Source organism: Homo sapiens, chromosome 10 (genome assembly GCF_000001405.40).
Source record: "Homo sapiens chromosome 10, GRCh38.p14 Primary Assembly".
Lineage (NCBI taxonomy): Eukaryota > Metazoa > Chordata > Mammalia > Primates > Hominidae > Homo > Homo sapiens.
Window position 1 is genome coordinate 124,512,954 of NC_000010.11, and position 16,906 is coordinate 124,529,859.

Sequence of the window (16,906 nt, forward strand, 5' to 3'; positions counted from 1 at the left end):
AGTAAGACTCCCCTGGCTTGGGCATGCTTCATAGTCATCGTTTCATTTTGTCTTGATTTTGGTTTGTGTATTTATCGGTTAGCCCCTCTTAGCATCTGAATTCCAGTGAGAAGACATGTAGTTTGTTTGTTTGTTTGTTTGTTTGTTTGTTTTAAGACAGAGTTTTGCTCTTCTCGCCCAGGCTGGAGTGCAATGGTTGCAATCTTGGCTCATTCTCCTGCCTCAGCCTCCCAAGTAGCTGGGATTACAGGCATCCGCCACCATGCCTGGCTAATTTTTTGTATTTTAATAGAGACGGGTTTCACCATGTTGCCCAGGCTGGTCTGGAACTCCTGGGCTCAAGTGATCTGCCTCCCTCGGCCTCCCACAGTGCTGGAATTACAGGCATGAGTCACTGCGCCCAGCTTTTAATCAGATTTTGGAGTAGGGGAGTGAGAGGAGCTGGTTGGTGGTGGTTTTTTTTTCTTTAAAATTATTATTACTTTTTTTTTCTTTAAAATTATTATTACTTTTTTTTTTTTTTTTTTTTGAGACCGAGTCTCACTCCATCGCCCATGCTGGAGTTCAGTGGCACAATCTCAGCTCACTGCAACCTCCACCTCCCAGGTTCAAGCAATTCGTGTGCCTCAGCCTCCCGAGTATCTGGGATTACAGGTGCATGCCGGGCTAATTTGTATATTTTTAGTGAAGACTGGTTTCACTATGTTGGCCAGGCTGGTCTCGAACTCCTGACCTCAAGTGATCCACCCGCCTCAGCCTCCCAAAGTGCTGGGATTATAGGTGTGTGCTACCACTCCCAGCTGTTTTTTCTTTAAATTACATATATTTATTTATATTAAAAAAAAAAAAAGAGCATGAGTCCATTTAAGCAATAACACATGTTAATGTGGCAAAAGGAGACCCACAAATGACTGACGTTTCAGCCACACTGGCGAGGACTGTATGACTCCCTCCACTCTATGTAGGTGACCAATGGGAAGTCTTGTTTGCGCCTCATAAGTGTGTCCAGACACAGCCAGCCGTGCCGTAATGCAGAGCACTCAGCTGCTCAAGACACATTTGCTGAGCGTCAACCAAGTGCCAGTTGTCAACCCAGATTCCTTGTCCTGAAGGAGCTCCTACTTCTGGAAGGGTGGGATGAGCAGAGTCCATTATGCTGCACTATGACACGGGTGGCACCAGGGTGTGATCCCAGAGTGCTTTGGGAGAGCCACACAACCCAGCCTGGGGGCAGAGGAAAGGTGGTGGTCACCAGAGCTGAGTCCTGAAGGCCTGGGGGGAATTAGCCAGCAGAGGAGGGAGGTGAGCAGGCAGAAGGTCAGCACGTGCCCACAAGGTAATTTTCTGGTGTTGATGTGTATTTCCAGCTATTGTCATTTTCCCTTCGCCCAAAGGACTTCTTCTACATTTCTTGTAGGGTAGATCTCTTGGTGATGAATTATTTCCGCTTCGGATGTCTGAAATATCTTTATTTCATCTTCATTTTGGAAAGATATTTTTGCTGGGTACAGAATTCTAGATGGGCAGTTTTTTCTTTTACTGCTTAAAAGACGGCACTCCACAGTCTTCTCACTTGCATTGTTTCCAACAAGAAATCTAACGTCTTAATCTTCGTTTCTCTGTACATAACATGTCTCTTTTGTCTGACTGTTTTATAAGATTTTCTCCTTGTCACTGGCTTTGAGCAATTTGATTATGATGTGCCTTAATACAGTTTTCTTTGTGTTTCTTGTGTTTGGTGTTCATTGGGATCTTGGATCTGTGGATTTATTATTTTTATCAAGTTTGGAAAAGTTTCAGTCACTATTTCTTCAAATATATTTATGTCTTCTCTCATCTCACTTTTTTTTTTTTTAATCTAATTTAGAGACAGGGTCTTGCTCTGTCGCTCAGGCTGGAGTGCAGTGGCACAAACACAGCTCACTGCAGTCTCAAACTCCCGGGCTCAAGTGATCCTCCCACCTCAGTCTCCCAAGTAGCTGGGACTACAGGCGTGCGCCACCACATCTGGCTAATTTTTTAAATTTTTATAGAGACAGGGTCTTGCGGTGTTGCCTAGGCTGGCCTTGGACTCCTGGGCTCAAGTGATCCTCCCACCTCAGCCTTCCACAGTGCTAGGATGATAGGTGTGAGCCACTGTGCCCCAGCTCATCTCACTTTGAGGAACTCTAATTGCGTGTACATCAGGCCGCTTGAAGTTGTGCCATAGCTCACTGATGCTCTGTTCATTTTTGAAAATAATTTTTCTGCCTCTGTTTCATTTTGGGCAGTTTCTATTGCCATGTCTCCAGGTTCATTCATCTTTTCCTCTGCGGTATCTCTTCTGGCATTAATCCCACCCAGTGTATTTTGATCCCTGACATTGTAGTTTTCATCTCTAGAAGCTTGGTTTGGATTTTTTCTTTTATCTTCCATTTCTCTACTTTTGGAACACATGAAATACCATTACAAGGGCTGACTGAATGCTCTCGTCTGCTCATTCTCACCTCTCTGTCAGTTCTGGCTCAGTTTGGATAAACTCATCTTTCTCCTCCTTCTGCATGATACTTTCCTTCTTTGCACGTCTGATCATTTTTTATTGGGTGCCAGACGTGATCAATTTTACCTTCTTTTTGGGTGCTGGATATTTTTGTGTGCCCATAAAGAATTTCGAACTTTGTTGTGGGATGCAGTTAAATTACTTGAAAACAGTTTGATCCTTCCAGATCTTGCTGTTAAGATTTGGGGGCAGCACCAGAGCAGGGTTGCCCTGGGTGAATCATTCCTCATAGTGAAGCCAGCGGCTTCTGAGATCGCACTCAATGCCCTGTGCATCGTGAGTGAGCTTTCCCAGCCTGGCTGGTGGGGACATAACGCAGTCCTGCGTGAGACACAGGCACCGTTTTCCCTAGTTATTTGGTGTGATTCTTTCCCAGGCTCAGGGAGTTTCCTCCCTCACGTGTGCTGGCAGTGGTCTGCTGAGTACTTGAGGGGACCCTCCACGATCTCCACAGCTCTTTCTCCATGCAGCCTTCTCCTCTCTGATTCCCTGTCCTGTGGACTCTGCTCCTGGGTCTCCCCAGAATCCTAGCTTTGTCTCCCCAGTTCAGGGATCCTACTGGGCTCTACCTGGGTTTCCCTTGGTATTAGTCAGCCCAGTCTGTCATACAAAACACCACAGACTGTGTGGATTCAACAGCAGAAACTTTTTTTCTCACTGTTCTGGAGGCTTGAAGCCTGAGATCAGGGTGCCAGCAAGTCCGGTTTCTGGTGAGGGCTCTCTTCCCAGCTTGTAGATGGCCGCCTTCTTGCAGTGTCCTCCCATGGCCTCTCCTCTGTGCTTGCATGGAGAGGGCACTCCAGTGCCTCTTCCTCTGGTAAGGACAGCAGTCCCATCAGATCAGGGCCCCCTCTGACCTCATTCGCCCTTAAAGAATTACCTCCTTACAGGCCCTGTCTCCAAATACAGTCACGCTGCGGGCTAGTGAATTTGTGGGGGACACACTTGAGTTCACAGCACCCCTCCTGTGTCCACAGTCTGGAAGCATCGAAGGCAGTAGGCTGGGGGCAGTCACAGGAGCCACCTCATTTGTTTCCTGCGTCTCAGAAGTCATTGTCCTTCGTTGCTTGATGTCCGGTGTCCTGAAAGCTGTTGGTTCATAATTTGGTTTTCTGGTTTTTTCAGGTGAGAGAGTTTATCCCAGAGGCTAGTTTTTGAAATGATACCCAGGCTGTGAGCATTTCCTCTGTGTGTGTGTGAATTTTGGTTTGTATATATTATTTTGTTTTTAAGGCAATACCTTCACCATTGAAAGCAAAACCTATATAAAGCAAAACTTACAAAGATTTGCCAGAGATTTGCTTCACTTTCATGGAATCAAGGGCAAATAACCAGGTTACAGAGTCTTTAGGGTCAGGTGAAATTTAGCCTGTGTTCCAGCAGAGGCCAGACAGCGTTCAGCATCCCCGCACGTCCTTGGGGCGCCAAATCACTTTGACGTCTGCTGATTGATTTCAAATTGCACAGATATATACTGTTCAAAGCTGTGGCCTACGGGGGCAGTGTGAGATATATTCAAGGTGGGTTGACTTTTAATCAATACGATGACAATATTATCTTGTTTAATTTGTATGATGGTGGTTGTAAACATCAAATCAAGCCATTTATTATGTCAAAAAAAGATGAAGGAGCCCGGGAATAAAACTCTCCTGACATCACTTCTGAGCGTATTTCACTGCCGTGACAGGCCGTCATGATTGGGGACGATATCGTGGGCGACGTCGGCGGTGCCCAGCGGTGTGGAATGAGAGCGCTGCAGGTGCGCACCGGGAAGTTCAGGTCAGTGCCAGCTGGAGTCATTTATTCACCTTCCTTCCAGGGGATGACCACATTCTCATTCTGTTTTGTTCTTCAAAATAAAGGGGATATTCTTTCCAAATCAAAGAGCAGTATGTGGGCATTCACTATCTTGTATGTAATGGACCTCTAAGAACAGGGCTGAGTGGTCTTTTATAGCAGACAGTGATAAAGTAGAGTGGCTTTTGATACAGGGTCTGGGTTTTGGAATGGCGTGCAGTGCAGAGAGAAATAAGCAAAGGCACTATCCATCCTGGCGGCGGCCCACCAGGGAGTTGGGCCGAATTTGTGCTGCTGTCCCTTTGGCAATTTGATCAGACCCTGCACTACGGCAGTTACAGCTGTGGGCACTCAGCCCCTTGGACAGCCTCCCTCTCCTTTTGTTCACTTTCTCCACTCTGTAAGACACAGAGAGCCTGGAGACGACAGAGGGTTGCTCAGGCATGCCCTGGAGCAGAACCTCCATCTCAAGAAGAAGGTTGTGTTTTATTTGCTGGCAAAAGTCTGCCTGGTCTGGAGCAGCTGTCAGGGGTTGGGAGCTCCCAGGCATGTGGAGGGCCCTGTGGTACCCAAGCTCCAGCTCGCCTGGTCATCGAGAGGATCTTGGACATCAGAGTGTTGCCTTGCCTTATGCTAGATGGTTTCGATTGTGGCCATTCAGAGAAAGTACATCTTTGCAGATGCTGGGGAGACTTGGTTGAAACATGGTTACCTGGAGGTACTTGGATTTGGGGTGGGGGCAGTTACATTTGTCCTGAGAGATCTGCTTAGGCAGGACCAGAGAAGACAGATCAGAGGGCCCGACCGTCGCTCTGAAGTCTCTCCTGCGGGTTGGGAGCTGTGGCTGAGTGCGAGGTGAGTGAGGAAGGCTCAGCGCACCTGGGTCCAGGGTCAGGAAGTTGGTCCCTTCCAGCTACCTCCCAGACCCTCCCAGGCTTCCCCCGACGTGTATGACATATGGGCCTTCTTTCTTTCTTGAAGTTGGGTTTTGTGGCTCCCCTTGGTTAGGCCTGGCCTAAGGGAGTGAGGGAGACCCCACTCACAAGCCACAGGAACGTTTTTTTCCAAGAGACCAGCCAGGGGTCCCCCAGTCCCCAATCCTGCCTTTCCTGCAAAGGTCGCAGAGCCTGGTCTTGCTGCTGCTCCCAGGCGAGGGGCTCTCCGCTGACAGCGGACCTCGGGGCCCTATAGTTGATGCCGGGTGCTGCCTGGCGTCAGCCGTCAGGAGCCCAGCCCGGCGCCCCATGCGTCTCAGGGCACACCTGTGACCCGTGAGCACAAGTGACACCTCCCTGCTTGGGAGCACAGCGGTGTGGCTCGGCAGGAGGTGGAAAGGGAGAACCGTACTGTGTTGTGTACTGGGCTTCTTCCAGTTCCTTGGAGGAGAAACATGTCTGTCCTGAATGCCACCTCAGTTGGGGTCTTTCTGGCCAGCCCAGGCCAGGTGCCCCTATAAACTGAGAATGGGCCTCTGAAGAAGGCCCCCCACAGCCCACGAATGCAGGTGGGCACGAGGGAGGCTGTGCCCACCCTACGCCAGCAAGGGTTGGTGCTTTTCAGATTCCGGTTACCTGCATGCTATTTAAAGAAGAGTACGAGGTGGGCATCCCCCATGACACTGTCTCCCGGAGAGAGAGAAACTCTGTTTTTTTGTTTTTGTTTTTGTTTTTTTGAGACAGAGTCTCCCTCTGTCGCCCAGGCTGGAGTACAGAGGTGCGATCGATCTCAGCTCACTGCAACCTCCGCCTCCCAGGCTCAAGTGATTCTCCTGCCTCAGCCTCCCGAGTAGCTGGGACTACAGGTGTGCACCACCACGCCTGGCTAGTTTTTGTATTTTTAGTGGAGACGGGGTTTCACCATGTTGGCCAGGCTGGTCTCGAACTCCTGACCTCAGGCGAACCACCCGCCTCTTCCTCCGGAAGTGCTGGGATTATACGCGTGAGCCACCGCGCCCGGCCCCAGAGAGAGAAACTCCATCAACAGTTTGCCGAATCCTTCCACACTGCCTTCTCTGCATAGATAAACAGACTGGTAATATTTTGGTTTTTTCTTTTTATAAAAATGGGATGATATTGTTTTGCAGCCTCCTTTTTCCTTGAACACTGTTTTATGGCCTCTTTCTACAAGTGTCTTCATAATGATTTTTTTGGTAATTTTTAAAATTTCAGTAGTTTTTGGAGAACAGGTGGTGTTTGGTTACATGCATAAGTTCTTTAGTGGTGATTTCTGAGATTTTGGTGCACCCATCACCCGAGCAGTATACACTGTACCCAGTGTGTAGTCTTTTATTTCTCACCTACCTCCCACCCTTCCCGGCAAGCCCCCAAAGTCCATTGTATTATTTTTATGCCTTTGCGTCCTCATAACTTAGCTCCCACTTATAAGTGAGAACATACAGTGTTTGGTTTTCCAGTCCTGAGTTACCTCCATTCCTTGAGGTCTCCAACTCCATCTAGGTTTGCTGTTAATGCCATTATTTCGTTCCTTTTTATGGCTAAGTAGTATTCCATGGTGTATATGTACCACATTTTTTTTCTTTGTTTCTTTCTTTTTTTTTCTTTGAGATAGAGTCTTGCTCTGTCACCCAGGCTGGAGTGCAGTGGCGCAGTCTCGGCTCACTGCAAGCTCCGCCTCCCGGGTTCACGCCATTCTCCTGCCTCAGCCTCCCAAGTAGCTGGGACTACAGGCGCCCACCACCACGCCCGGCTAATTTTTTGGTATTTTTAGTAGAGACGGCGTTTCACCATGTTAGCCAGGATGGTCTCGATCTCCTGACCCCGTGATCTGCCCACCTCGGCCTCCCAAAGTGCTAGGATTACAGGTGTGAGCCACCGCGCCCGGCCTCTTTCTTTTTTTTTTAACTTTTAAGTTCAGGGGTACATGTGCAGGTTCATTACATAGGTGAACATGTATCATGGGGGTTTATTGTACAGATTATTTCATCACTCAGATATTAAACCTAGTACCCATTAGTTATTTTTCCTGATCCTCTCCCTCCTCCCCTCTTCACCCTCCAACAGGCCCCAGTGTGTGTGTTATCCTGTGTATCCATGTGTTCAGATGCTGTAGGAAAGGAATCAGTGTAGTGCCGGGCACACAGCAAGCCCTCAGCAAATGGCCAGGGTGGGGAGCACGTGCGGCCACTACTGTCCATATCCATCCGTATCCATGCATATCCATCCATATCCACCAAGCTCCAGACATGGAGTCACCTGCCTCCATTGAAGAGGATGGGACTTAGCCCATTTGTTCCTAACGAGATTTAAAATGTCAGACCTTTTGATTTGTTTGTAAGGATGCAAATCTGCCTTTGTTAACATGCAGGACAAAGGGAGAAGAGTGTTAGCTTGGCTAAGGTAGGGACCCAGTCGCTGGGGGAGGCCACATGGGCATCAAAGGAGGTGGGGCTCTGCGTGTGTAGGTGTGCCCCAGTTAAAGGGATGGGAGGTCTCCCAGCCATTGGTGACTCTCTGGAGCTGCACTGTCAGACACAGTAGCGGCGAGCCGCAGGGGGTGACTTGTAGCTCGCCCACAGTGAGACGTGCAGGAAGTGTAAAATACACACTGGATTTCAGAGACTGGGTGGGGAGAAAGGATTGTGAAAGAGCTCATGAGTATTTTTTTATATCGGCTGCATGTTGAAATGCTGATATTTCGTGTTAATTTCACCCATTTATTTAAATTTTTGTTAACGTGGCTACTAGAAAAGGTTCGCTGGCTTCTGCAGGAGTGTTGGTGGCCCCAGGTGGCAGCTGCCCTCCTCCTGCACTGTCCCCTTCTCCCTCCAGATGGTACTCTTGGTACACAGATACACTGAAATGCTGGAGGGGCGTGGGGTCCTGGATGAGTGGCTGATGGGGCCTCGCTCTCTGGAGGGCTGTTTTGGGACTGGAATTGCCTGCGTGGTGCTCCCTATGGATGTGTGGCCAGCCTGGGGCCAGCACACAGCCTCTGGAGTCAGCCGGGCACCTGCCGCTGGGCCGGCATCCCTTCCTTCCAGGAAATACCCCCAGCCAGGCTCTATGGAGCAGCACCTCGCCCTTCCAGGGCCACCCCCAGCCCTCTGGCACCTCAGCACGGCCCCATTCTGCACAGCGGTGAGCCCCCCAGGGGCAGCAGCTGTGTCTCCTCTGCAGCTGAGGCATGTCGTCGCAACCCTGTGCTGAGCCTCTCCTCTCCTGCAAGTGGCCCAAAGAGGCCTCAACAGGGGCCAATGACCACTGGATGGGTCAGCTGGGCATCAGAAGGCCTTCCAGGCTCTGTCCTCTGTTGGTGGCCTTGGCGGAAATGGGAGAATGAAGGGGGAGGAGGGGTGGCCTTGTCCTGGGCCCAGGTGGCAGAGAGCCCTGCAGTGAGTAACTGCGCTCACACTTGGTTTGAGGCCAGGGCAGCATGGGGAGGCCGTCCAGGCTGGGGCAGCTGGCGGGTGGGGGCAGCGGTCAGTCCTGCCAGTCACTGGCACCAGGAAGGGGGAGAAGCCAGAGGGATGACTGAGGCCTCCCACTGGTCCTGCTGTGGGACGTGCCCTCAGCCAAGGTCTTCTAGTACGGAGCACGCACACGTGCACGCACTTACACGTACACACACACACACACACAATTGTTTCTGAGGCAGCTGTCAGGAGTCTGAGAGGCCGAGAGGTGGCTGAGGAGTGGGATTCGGCCGCTGACTGGCAGTGAGATCTCCTTGTCACCTTAGATGTATCCATTTCTCTTGTTTTCATTATAAAATGGCCCAAAGAGAGTGAAGCCTCGGGGTTGGGAGAGATTGCAGGTGGCTTAGCTCTGGAGGGAAAGTTTTGCAGGGCCTGCTCCCCAGGAAAGCATCATCCCCGGGCAGGGGTGTCTGGAGCTTGGCCCAACAGGGCTGCCCAAGAGCCCTGGACAGGGAAGCACAAAGCTTTCTTTTCATACCTGCTCCCTGTGGAAATCCTGCCCAGCCAGGGGGCGGCCCTCACCTGGCTGGCAGGTAAAGGCCTTCTGGGTGTTCCCTGCCTGCCCTGTTCCCAGGACTCCTGGCGCATTGGACATGGCTGCTCCCCCAGACTCCTCGAGGTCCCATCCAGCCACAGCGTTCCTGCTGCCCAGGCCCTGGACAACAGTGTCTCCTCCGTGGGGGGTCCTGTGCCATGGGTGGCAAATCCTCATGATGCCATGAGTCCTGCAGCCCCAGAGGGTGCTGCTGCCCTGCCGTGAGAGGCTTTTTCAGATGGGACAGCTAGGACCTTGGCCAAGGCCACCTGGCAAGGTTTTACAGAAGCTGGACTGGAACCTGGCCGCCCCCAGTCCCCTGGGCGGGTGCTTTTCCTGCACTTTTCCCTGGTAGAATGTCCTGCCCTTGGGGCCACATTTTGCAGCAGTCACAGGGCCTGGCCTCACTCCAGGGCTCCATGTTTGGATGCGAGGCCCAGTGGGTAAGTGCACTGCTGCCCACGCCCCCCCCCAAGCACTGTCTGCTCCTCCCTGCTTGCCTGCCTGTCAAGGCAGCCCTCATCTTCCTTGGAGGATGGGGCTGGGCTGGGAGCCTGCGCCCTCCCATTCTGACAAATGAGTAGAGGGAAGGGACGTTTTGCCCAGTTCCAAGGTGCCCTCTCTGTCCTCAGTGGAGAAGGAAGAGCCGCTGGCACATCTGAGCCACAGACCCTTCCTGCCTCTTATATCCCCACCAACCTGTGTTCCTGTGGACATGCCAGAAACCAGGCCGTGTGGCCTCTCACCACCCCATCACTCTGTTCGCTGTTCCACGCCACACCCTGCAGCCACCACCCAGTCAAAGGCGCCACTGCCTGGGAAGCCCCTGCGCTAGTCCTGGTGCTGCTGTGTAAATAAAGCCGCGATGCGGAGCTCGCCTCTGGTCTTCTCTTATTGTTTACCCAAGGCTGGCAGATGTTTTATAAGCCCCGAACGTTCTTGACAAACAGTTTGCCCTTCGGAGAGGGAAAGTTTCCTGGACCGTGATTCCCGACATCCTGCAAGGTCCCTTCTAGCTGTGGCCTGGGTGCTGAAGGGGTTTCCCCCCAGTGGGGTGGCCAGCCGATCTAGGATTCCAGCCGCCTTGCACAAAGCTGGAAGACGAGGGGCTGCAGGGTGCATGGCTGTGGAGCTGGCTGCGTCGGGAGGGAGAGTGCCCCCACGCCTGGCCTTTGACCTTGGAAGCGGCTGCCGTCAAAGCAGCAGCTTGTCCTGGGTCTTCCCAGACTTCGCAGTGACGGATTTCAGAGTGTTTCCTGTTACGAGAAGGCTGTGGATTCGCTTTGGAACATGACAGATTTTTCTTCTGTGCTACGTGGAGTGTGAGGGAAGGAAGTGAAACTGGTGTTAATTTTTCAGCAGTCACATGTCAAAGTGAGTGGCTAGCAAGCAGGGGGGTCCAGGCTGTGGTGGCCCTGGTCAGCCTTCCAGGAGTCAGGACCCTCCTGCTGCCCTCCTGTGTAAACAGACCAGCCAGGGCAATCCGAGCCAGCCCCGGTGGAGAGAAAGGGCCAGTGCTGGGCTTGGGAGCTCACCCCAAGTTCCTCGGGTACTCATCCTGGCAGTGCAGGGAAGGGCACCGGGAACAGGCCTGTGGAAAAATCCACTGTGCAATGAGTCCGTGAATCCCAGACATCCTCTCAGCAGCCCTCTGGTCCTGCCCGGGATAGAGGCTGTGGCTTCTGGTGTAGGTGGGCACTTCTGGGCTCAGAGGGGTCATTTAGCTCACCTGAGGTCACACGGAGTGGGACCCACCCCAATTTAAGCCTGTACACTTTTTTCTTTTGTCTCTTTTGGTAACAGCTTTATTGAGAAATCACTCCCACGCTGTATAACTCAGTGGTTTTCATACATTCACAGAGCTGTGCAGTCGTCACCACAATTTTATAACATTTCATCACCCCAAAAAGAAGCCTCAAATCGTTTAGCTATTATTAGCAAAGACCCCCCACATTCCACCCAGCCCCAGACAATCACTAATCTACTTTATGTCATACTTTCTTTCTTTTGTTTTCATTTTTTTTTTTTTTTTTTTGAGACAGAGTCTCACTCTGACAGCCAGGCTGGAGTGCAGTAGCATGATCTTGGCTCACTACAACCTCCGCCTCCCAGGTTCAAGCGATTCTCCTGCCTCAGCCTCCCAAGTAGCTGGGATTATAGCCACGCACCACCATGCCCAACTAATTTATGTATTTTTAGTAGAGATGGGGTTTCACCACGTTGGCCAAACTGGTCTCAAACTCCTGACCTCAAATGATCCCCCCGCCTTGACCTCCCAAAGTGCTGGGATTACAGGCATGAGCCACCGTGTCTGGCCTTATGTCATACTTTCATTTGAAAAATTTAGAAAAATTAAATTGGCCCAGGAGTTTGAGACCAGCCTGGGCAACATAGCGAGACCTCATTTCTATTAAAAATCAAAATTAGCCAGGTGTGGTGACACCCACCTGTGGTCCCAGCTACTCGGGAGGCTGAGGCAGGAGGATCTCTTAAACCCAGGAGGTCCACGAGGCTGCAGTGAGCTGTGATCATACCACTGCACTTCAGCCTGGGTGACAGAGCAAGACCTTGTCTCAAAAAGAAATTTTTTTAAATTGTGGTAAAATATATATAACATAAAATATGCCATTAAACAATTGTGATGTGAAGTGAATAAAATTTGAATACACAGCATAATGAATAACAAAGCAAACACTCTAAGGTCAAGAATTAGGAGGCTATCAGCTCCCCAGAAGACCTAGTCCCTGATTGACATGCCCAGTCCTGCAGAGGCGGCCCCGCCTTGCCGTGGGCACAGTGGCCGCGGTGACTGGGCCTGCTTTCTTCTCCCACATGGCTGGCTTCCCTCCAACATGGCGCTGGCTCTTCCTTCTCTGACCTTTATCCAAGTGGAATCGCACACTGTACCGTTGAGCTGTGGCTTGTTCATCGTGTCCTCTGTGGCTCCAACACCCCTCTCTGCCCGTCCCTCAGAGGGAACATCTGGGTGGGTCCCAGTTTGGCCCTTCTGCACTGGCTGCCAGGAATGTTCTGGTTTTTGTCTCCTGGACACATGGGCGTGAGTCCTTCTGGGGCGGATCTGCTGATAGATGGCAGTGCTGGGTCATGGAGGAGCATATGTTCAACTTGACCAGATGAGGCCAGACGGGTTTATGCCCCCACCACGGGGGGACCCTGTTGCTCCCCGCCCCGACCATCACGAGCTGTTCTGGGAGGGAGGCCCATGTTCTTCCCAGTTTACGGTCCTGGGAGGTTTCTGGACATTGTCAGCATGTGGCAGTCCCGGACGCTGGGCCTCCTGAGAGAGTGGGGAGGAGACCCGAGGCGGAGGCGAGTGTGTGAAAGGAGGCTGGTGGGGTCCACATGGCTCAGCAGGTGAACATGGGGTTTCCAGGGGCAGACACCCCATCGTGGCCCCCATGGCTTTGGTTGGGGCAGCATCAGCTTCCTCCTCTGCTGGGTTTCCTGCCTTCTGTTGGCTGCTGGGGCAGGGGAGACAGGATTGGGAACAGTCACCCTCTCTGGTACTGACCCTCATTAGCATTCTTGGTTCCTGAGCAAGGCTGCTTCATGTCCAGGGCAAGAGGGGAAAGATGTTAAAACCTGAACCCCCCTGCTGGGCTTGGTGCCGCCTGTGGGAAAACCGGTGGGCTGAGGGCTGGGGGGCTCTGAGCTGAGGAAGGGGGTCCCAGGTGGAGGCCGGGAGGTGGCTGCAGAGTGAGGCCACAAGGCCTGGGGGTTGGCCCAGAAGGTAGGACCCCTGTAGGCAGCCTCCCAACCCCAGGAATTTGCCTCTTGGGAACGTGCAGGTCCCTCGAGGGTCCTGGAAGGCGCTGGAGTGGTGGGACAGGGATTGAGGGAGCGTCAGCAGGGCCCTCTCTTCTCCCTAGAGCCGCTCAACACGTGTTGCAAGGCACGTGCTCTGGACCTGGTGCTCACACGTGCTCTTCTCCCAAGACACTCCCTGAAGCGCGTTCCCCAGGAGCTGGAAGGGGGATAACGCAGGTATGCCTCATGGCGGGGCCAGTGCTCATGCTTACACACACTCAGCCTCAGCTCGTCTACACCCTGCAACAGCCCAGAGAAGCCACCCGCCTTCTTACCCCTACCATTTAGATTTGCAAATGGAAGCTCAGAGAGGTGAAGTAACTTGCCCAAGGCCACACAGCCTACCAGTGTCAGAATCGGGATTCGAACCCACCTCTGCCTGACTCCAAGGCCTGTGCCCCTGAACATTCTCAAGCCACCCCCCAATTAGCCAAGTGTTGCTGGAGCTCTGAGCAGGGGCCGGGCCTCACAAAACAATAGTAGCCAGTGTGGGGGCTCACAGGACTGGTCAGCTCCCGCCCTCCCCCGCTTTGGCCCCCTCCACACACACACGACCTGCTGCTGAGCTGGACATAAGCAGGACCTGGCTCTGGGGGCTTCTGACCTAGGGCAGGCCCTGAAGTTGGTCATTAGACCCCACCCACCCACCTGAGAGCCTGGCGGAGATGTGACAGGTGACAGCCCCAGAAGTCCCATCGTTGCTGCCTTTGTGGTTAAAGTCCGCTGAACCCAAGCGCTCTCTTCCCCTCCAGTGTGTGGTGGGGAGGTGGGGAGGGGACCCAGGCAGATCTGGGAAGCCGTGGCCAGGCCGCAGCAAGCAGGGGAAGAAGGGGCCCGCAGTGAACTTGCAGCAGGAGCTGTGGCCACCGTCCTAGCCAGGCCGGCCACCTGCCCAAAATGTTCTCTAACCTTAACATGAACCTGGGCCACTTGGGCTCTGCTGGATGCCCCCAGGGCTGCCAGAGCCTGCCCGCCACAGAGCCCCTCTGAGACCTGGAGTCTCACCTGAGCCCTCTCGCTGCCCACAGGGCTGGCCTCTGCCTTTCCGCTGCTGCTCTGCGGCTCGGGGACACGGCCAGGGCTGGTGGCGCTTACAGCCCAGGGGCAGGGGAGGGCACATCCCCCACAGCATTCACCATTGCTGCTGTGTTCTGATGCATCAGGGAATCTGCATTTTTGACCCTTTGATTGCTACATCTTTTCCAGCCTGGAAAAGTGAAGAAGGAAGGAAAGGGGGCTCAGAGGCCCCTGACTCCTGTCCTTGCAGGCACAGCTGGACGCAGTTCTTATTTTCAACCATCTTGCAGCAGTGGTTTTATTTGTGCACAGGTTCCTCTGTGTCATGGGTGGGTCCCAGGATGTGAACCCGGTGTGCTCCTCTAGCTCCACTGTCCTCAGGTTGGGGACAGCCAGGGACAAGGCCCCCTACTCCAGCTCCAAACGTAGTTCCAGGCTGGGGTGCCCTTTGCCCAGGCCCAGCCTGGTAGCCCCGGGTGCTCTCCCTGACTTTTCATGAGCCCGGGGGCTGAAACCAGAGCAGCAGGGAGACAGAAAAGCCCAGCCCCACCCTCCAGAGGGGGAGTCCAGCTGCCCGGAGACCCCAAGAGCACTGCCAGAATCTGGGTATGAGACCCAGTCCCCTGCCGCGTGCTAACCATGTAACCTTGGACGTGATCTCTTTGTGCTTTTTTTTTTTTGTTTTTTTCTTTTTGAGATGCGGTCTTGTTCTGTTTCCTAGGTGGGAGTGCAGTGGCACCATCATGGCCCACTGCAGCCTGGAACTCCTGGGCACAAGTGATTCTCCCGCCTCAGCCTCCCAAATAGCTGGGAAACAGGTTTATGCCACCACGCCCAACTAATTTTTAAATTTTTTATAAAGATGGAGTCTCCCTGTGTTGCCCAGCCTCCTGGGCTCAAGTGATCTCCCCGCCTTGGCCTCCCAAAGTGCTGGGATTACCCGGCTTGAGCATGATCTTTTTGCCTTGCTTGGCTCTGGGTTTCCTCATGTGTCAAGTGGGGCTGAGCCCCAGCTGTGTGGGCTGAACAGGGGAGGGTTAAGCTCGGCCCCTAGAGTGAGGGCCCGCCATGGTGGTGGCTCCCGTATGGCATATTTCCCTAACGGTTCCCATTTGGTCTGTCCTGCTAGACCAGGCTGGTGGGACGTACACTGACTCTGGGGTTCTGTCCACCCCGTGGGTGTGGTCCACCACATGGTCATGGTGGCTTTCTAGGGTAGACTTGACCTTCCCCACTGCCTTTATTTATTTATTTATTATTTTATTTTTTTTTGAAACGGAGTCTTGCTCTGTTGCCCAGGCTGGAGTGCAATGGTGCGATCTTGGCTCATTGCAACCTCCGCCTCCCGGGTTCAAGGGATTCTCCTGCCTCAGCCTTCCAAGTAGCTGGGAATACAGATGTCTGCCACCACACCCGGCTAATTTTTGTATTTCCACTAGAGACGGGGTTTCGCCATGTTGGCCAGGCTGGTCTTGAACTCCTGACCTCAGGTGATCTGCCCACCTCAGCCTCCTAAAGTGCTGGGATTAGAGGCGTGAGCCACAGTGCCTGGCCTTCCCCACTGCCTTTAAAATCTCTATGGTCCCCACTGCCCACGGGAGGAGGCCCAACCCTGTCCTCTGTTAGTCCCCTGGTCCCCGTAGATATTTACCAAGCACCTACTATGGCCAGGCGCTGTTGAGGATGTGGGGGATCGAGTGAATGTGGCAGGTGTCCCCTGCCCTCTAGGGCTGTTCTTCCTTCTAGGGAGGGAGGTTCAAGCCCCTCTCCTGATGCCCAGCTGGCCTCCCAGCGTCAGGGATCTCTGCTCTGTTGGTCCCCTGGAGTGGCCCTGGGGCCACCACATAACACTTTTGTAAGAATAAGAGTTATTTTTTATGGCACAATCGCCCCTGCCCTGGGTTTGTGAATTTGGGGGATTCTTTTTTTTTTTTTTTTTTTTTTTGAGACAGAGTCTTGCTCTGTCGCCCAGGCTGGAGTGCAGTGGTGTGATCTCGGCTCACTGTAAGCTCCGCCTCCCGGGTTCATGCCATTCTCCTGCCTCAGCCTCCTGAATAGCTGGGACTACAGGCACCCACCACTACCATGCCCAGCTAATTTTTTTGTATTTTTAGTAGAGACGGGGTTTCACTGTGTTAGCCAGGATGGTCTCAATCTCCTGACCTCGTGATCTGCCCACCTCGGCCTCCCAAAGTGCTGGGATTACAGGTGTTGGGGGATTCTTAAGGAAAACCACCTGAAAGTGCGGGGTTATTAAAAACAGAAACCAACCCATGCACCCACCACTCACGAGCAGCCCACACAGCTCCCACCTGACCAGGGCTCCCCCTTCTCATGGGTGAGTGAAAGTTGCTGAAAATAGGCCTCCTGGTGAGGAACCTCCCAGCCAGCCCTGTCAGTGGCACTGAGGCTGCTCTCCGACTGTGGCATCCCCCATGTCTGTCCTCATTACTGAGCAAAAATTTGTGCAGAGGAGTGCTCTACACTTTCCAAGGGTTTAATCCAGGAGCTGAGGGCCAGGGGCTCCATGACTGTAGACTCAACATCCTGGGCCACAGCCATCCGTGAGGGGGAGGACGAGGGGCCACGCCCTGCACTCTGTCCCAGCATCCCCTCTCCCTGGAGCCATGCAGAGATGGCCTCATTTCATCCCACACTCACATGCGGGTCCTAGACACCAGCTCATGCACATACACACACACACACACGCACACACACACACACACACATGCGCACATGCACCCACGCACTCTCT

The 16,906-nt window shown here is 52.9% G+C and overlaps 1 protein-coding gene across 7 annotated transcripts in view, besides 4 other annotated features; it reads left to right on the plus strand.

Moving 5' to 3' along the window:
* The window catches only part of LHPP (phospholysine phosphohistidine inorganic pyrophosphate phosphatase), a 152,319-nt gene that overhangs the window by 51,131 nt on the left and 84,282 nt on the right, over positions 1 to 16,906 (plus strand). For 2 of the 7 annotated variants that reach the window (XM_005270026.4, XM_017016509.2), the window contains exons 6-7: positions 4,227 to 4,318; positions 13,197 to 13,311. The exons of 2 other annotated variants lie outside the window; for them this stretch is intronic. In XM_005270026.4, the coding sequence (XP_005270083.1) occupies positions 4,227 to 4,318; positions 13,197 to 13,311 (207 nt within the window). Of the gene's footprint in view, positions 1 to 1,216; positions 1,337 to 4,226; positions 4,319 to 13,196; positions 13,312 to 16,906 lie in introns of those variants that run through there. 3 more of the 7 variants (NM_022126.4, XM_024448122.1, XM_017016512.2) reach the window with 2 other exon arrangements.
* Positions 9,161 to 9,702: an enhancer, noted in NCBI's record as "H3K4me1 hESC enhancer chr10:126210683-126211224 (GRCh37/hg19 assembly coordinates)". NCBI's record gives its function as "activates a minimal SCP1, AML or CMV promoter by ChIP-STARR-seq in naive H9 embryonic stem cells {active_cell/tissue: H9 hESC(naive)}" and the evidence as "EXISTENCE:reporter gene assay evidence [ECO:0000049][PMID:30033119]".
* Positions 10,583 to 10,752: an enhancer, noted in NCBI's record as "active region_4166". NCBI's record gives its function as "activates an Ori minimal core promoter by ATAC-STARR-seq in GM12878 lymphoblastoid cells {active_cell/tissue: GM12878}" and the evidence as "EXISTENCE:reporter gene assay evidence [ECO:0000049][PMID:35858748]".
* Positions 15,233 to 15,402: an enhancer, noted in NCBI's record as "experimental_10852 CRE fragment used in MPRA reporter constructs". NCBI's record gives its function as "activates a minimal promoter by MPRAs in K562 erythroleukemia cells, with activity observed for both the introgressed and non-introgressed 10:126216840 or rs11598172 variant alleles {active_cell/tissue: K562}" and the evidence as "EXISTENCE:reporter gene assay evidence [ECO:0000049][PMID:34662402]".
* Position 15,318: a transcriptional cis regulatory region, noted in NCBI's record as "Neanderthal adaptively introgressed variant 10:126216840 (GRCh37/hg19 assembly coordinates) or rs11598172 in the experimental_10852 CRE". NCBI's record gives its function as "modulates activity of the experimental_10852 enhancer by MPRAs in K562 erythroleukemia cells {active_cell/tissue: K562}" and the evidence as "EXISTENCE:reporter gene assay evidence [ECO:0000049][PMID:34662402]".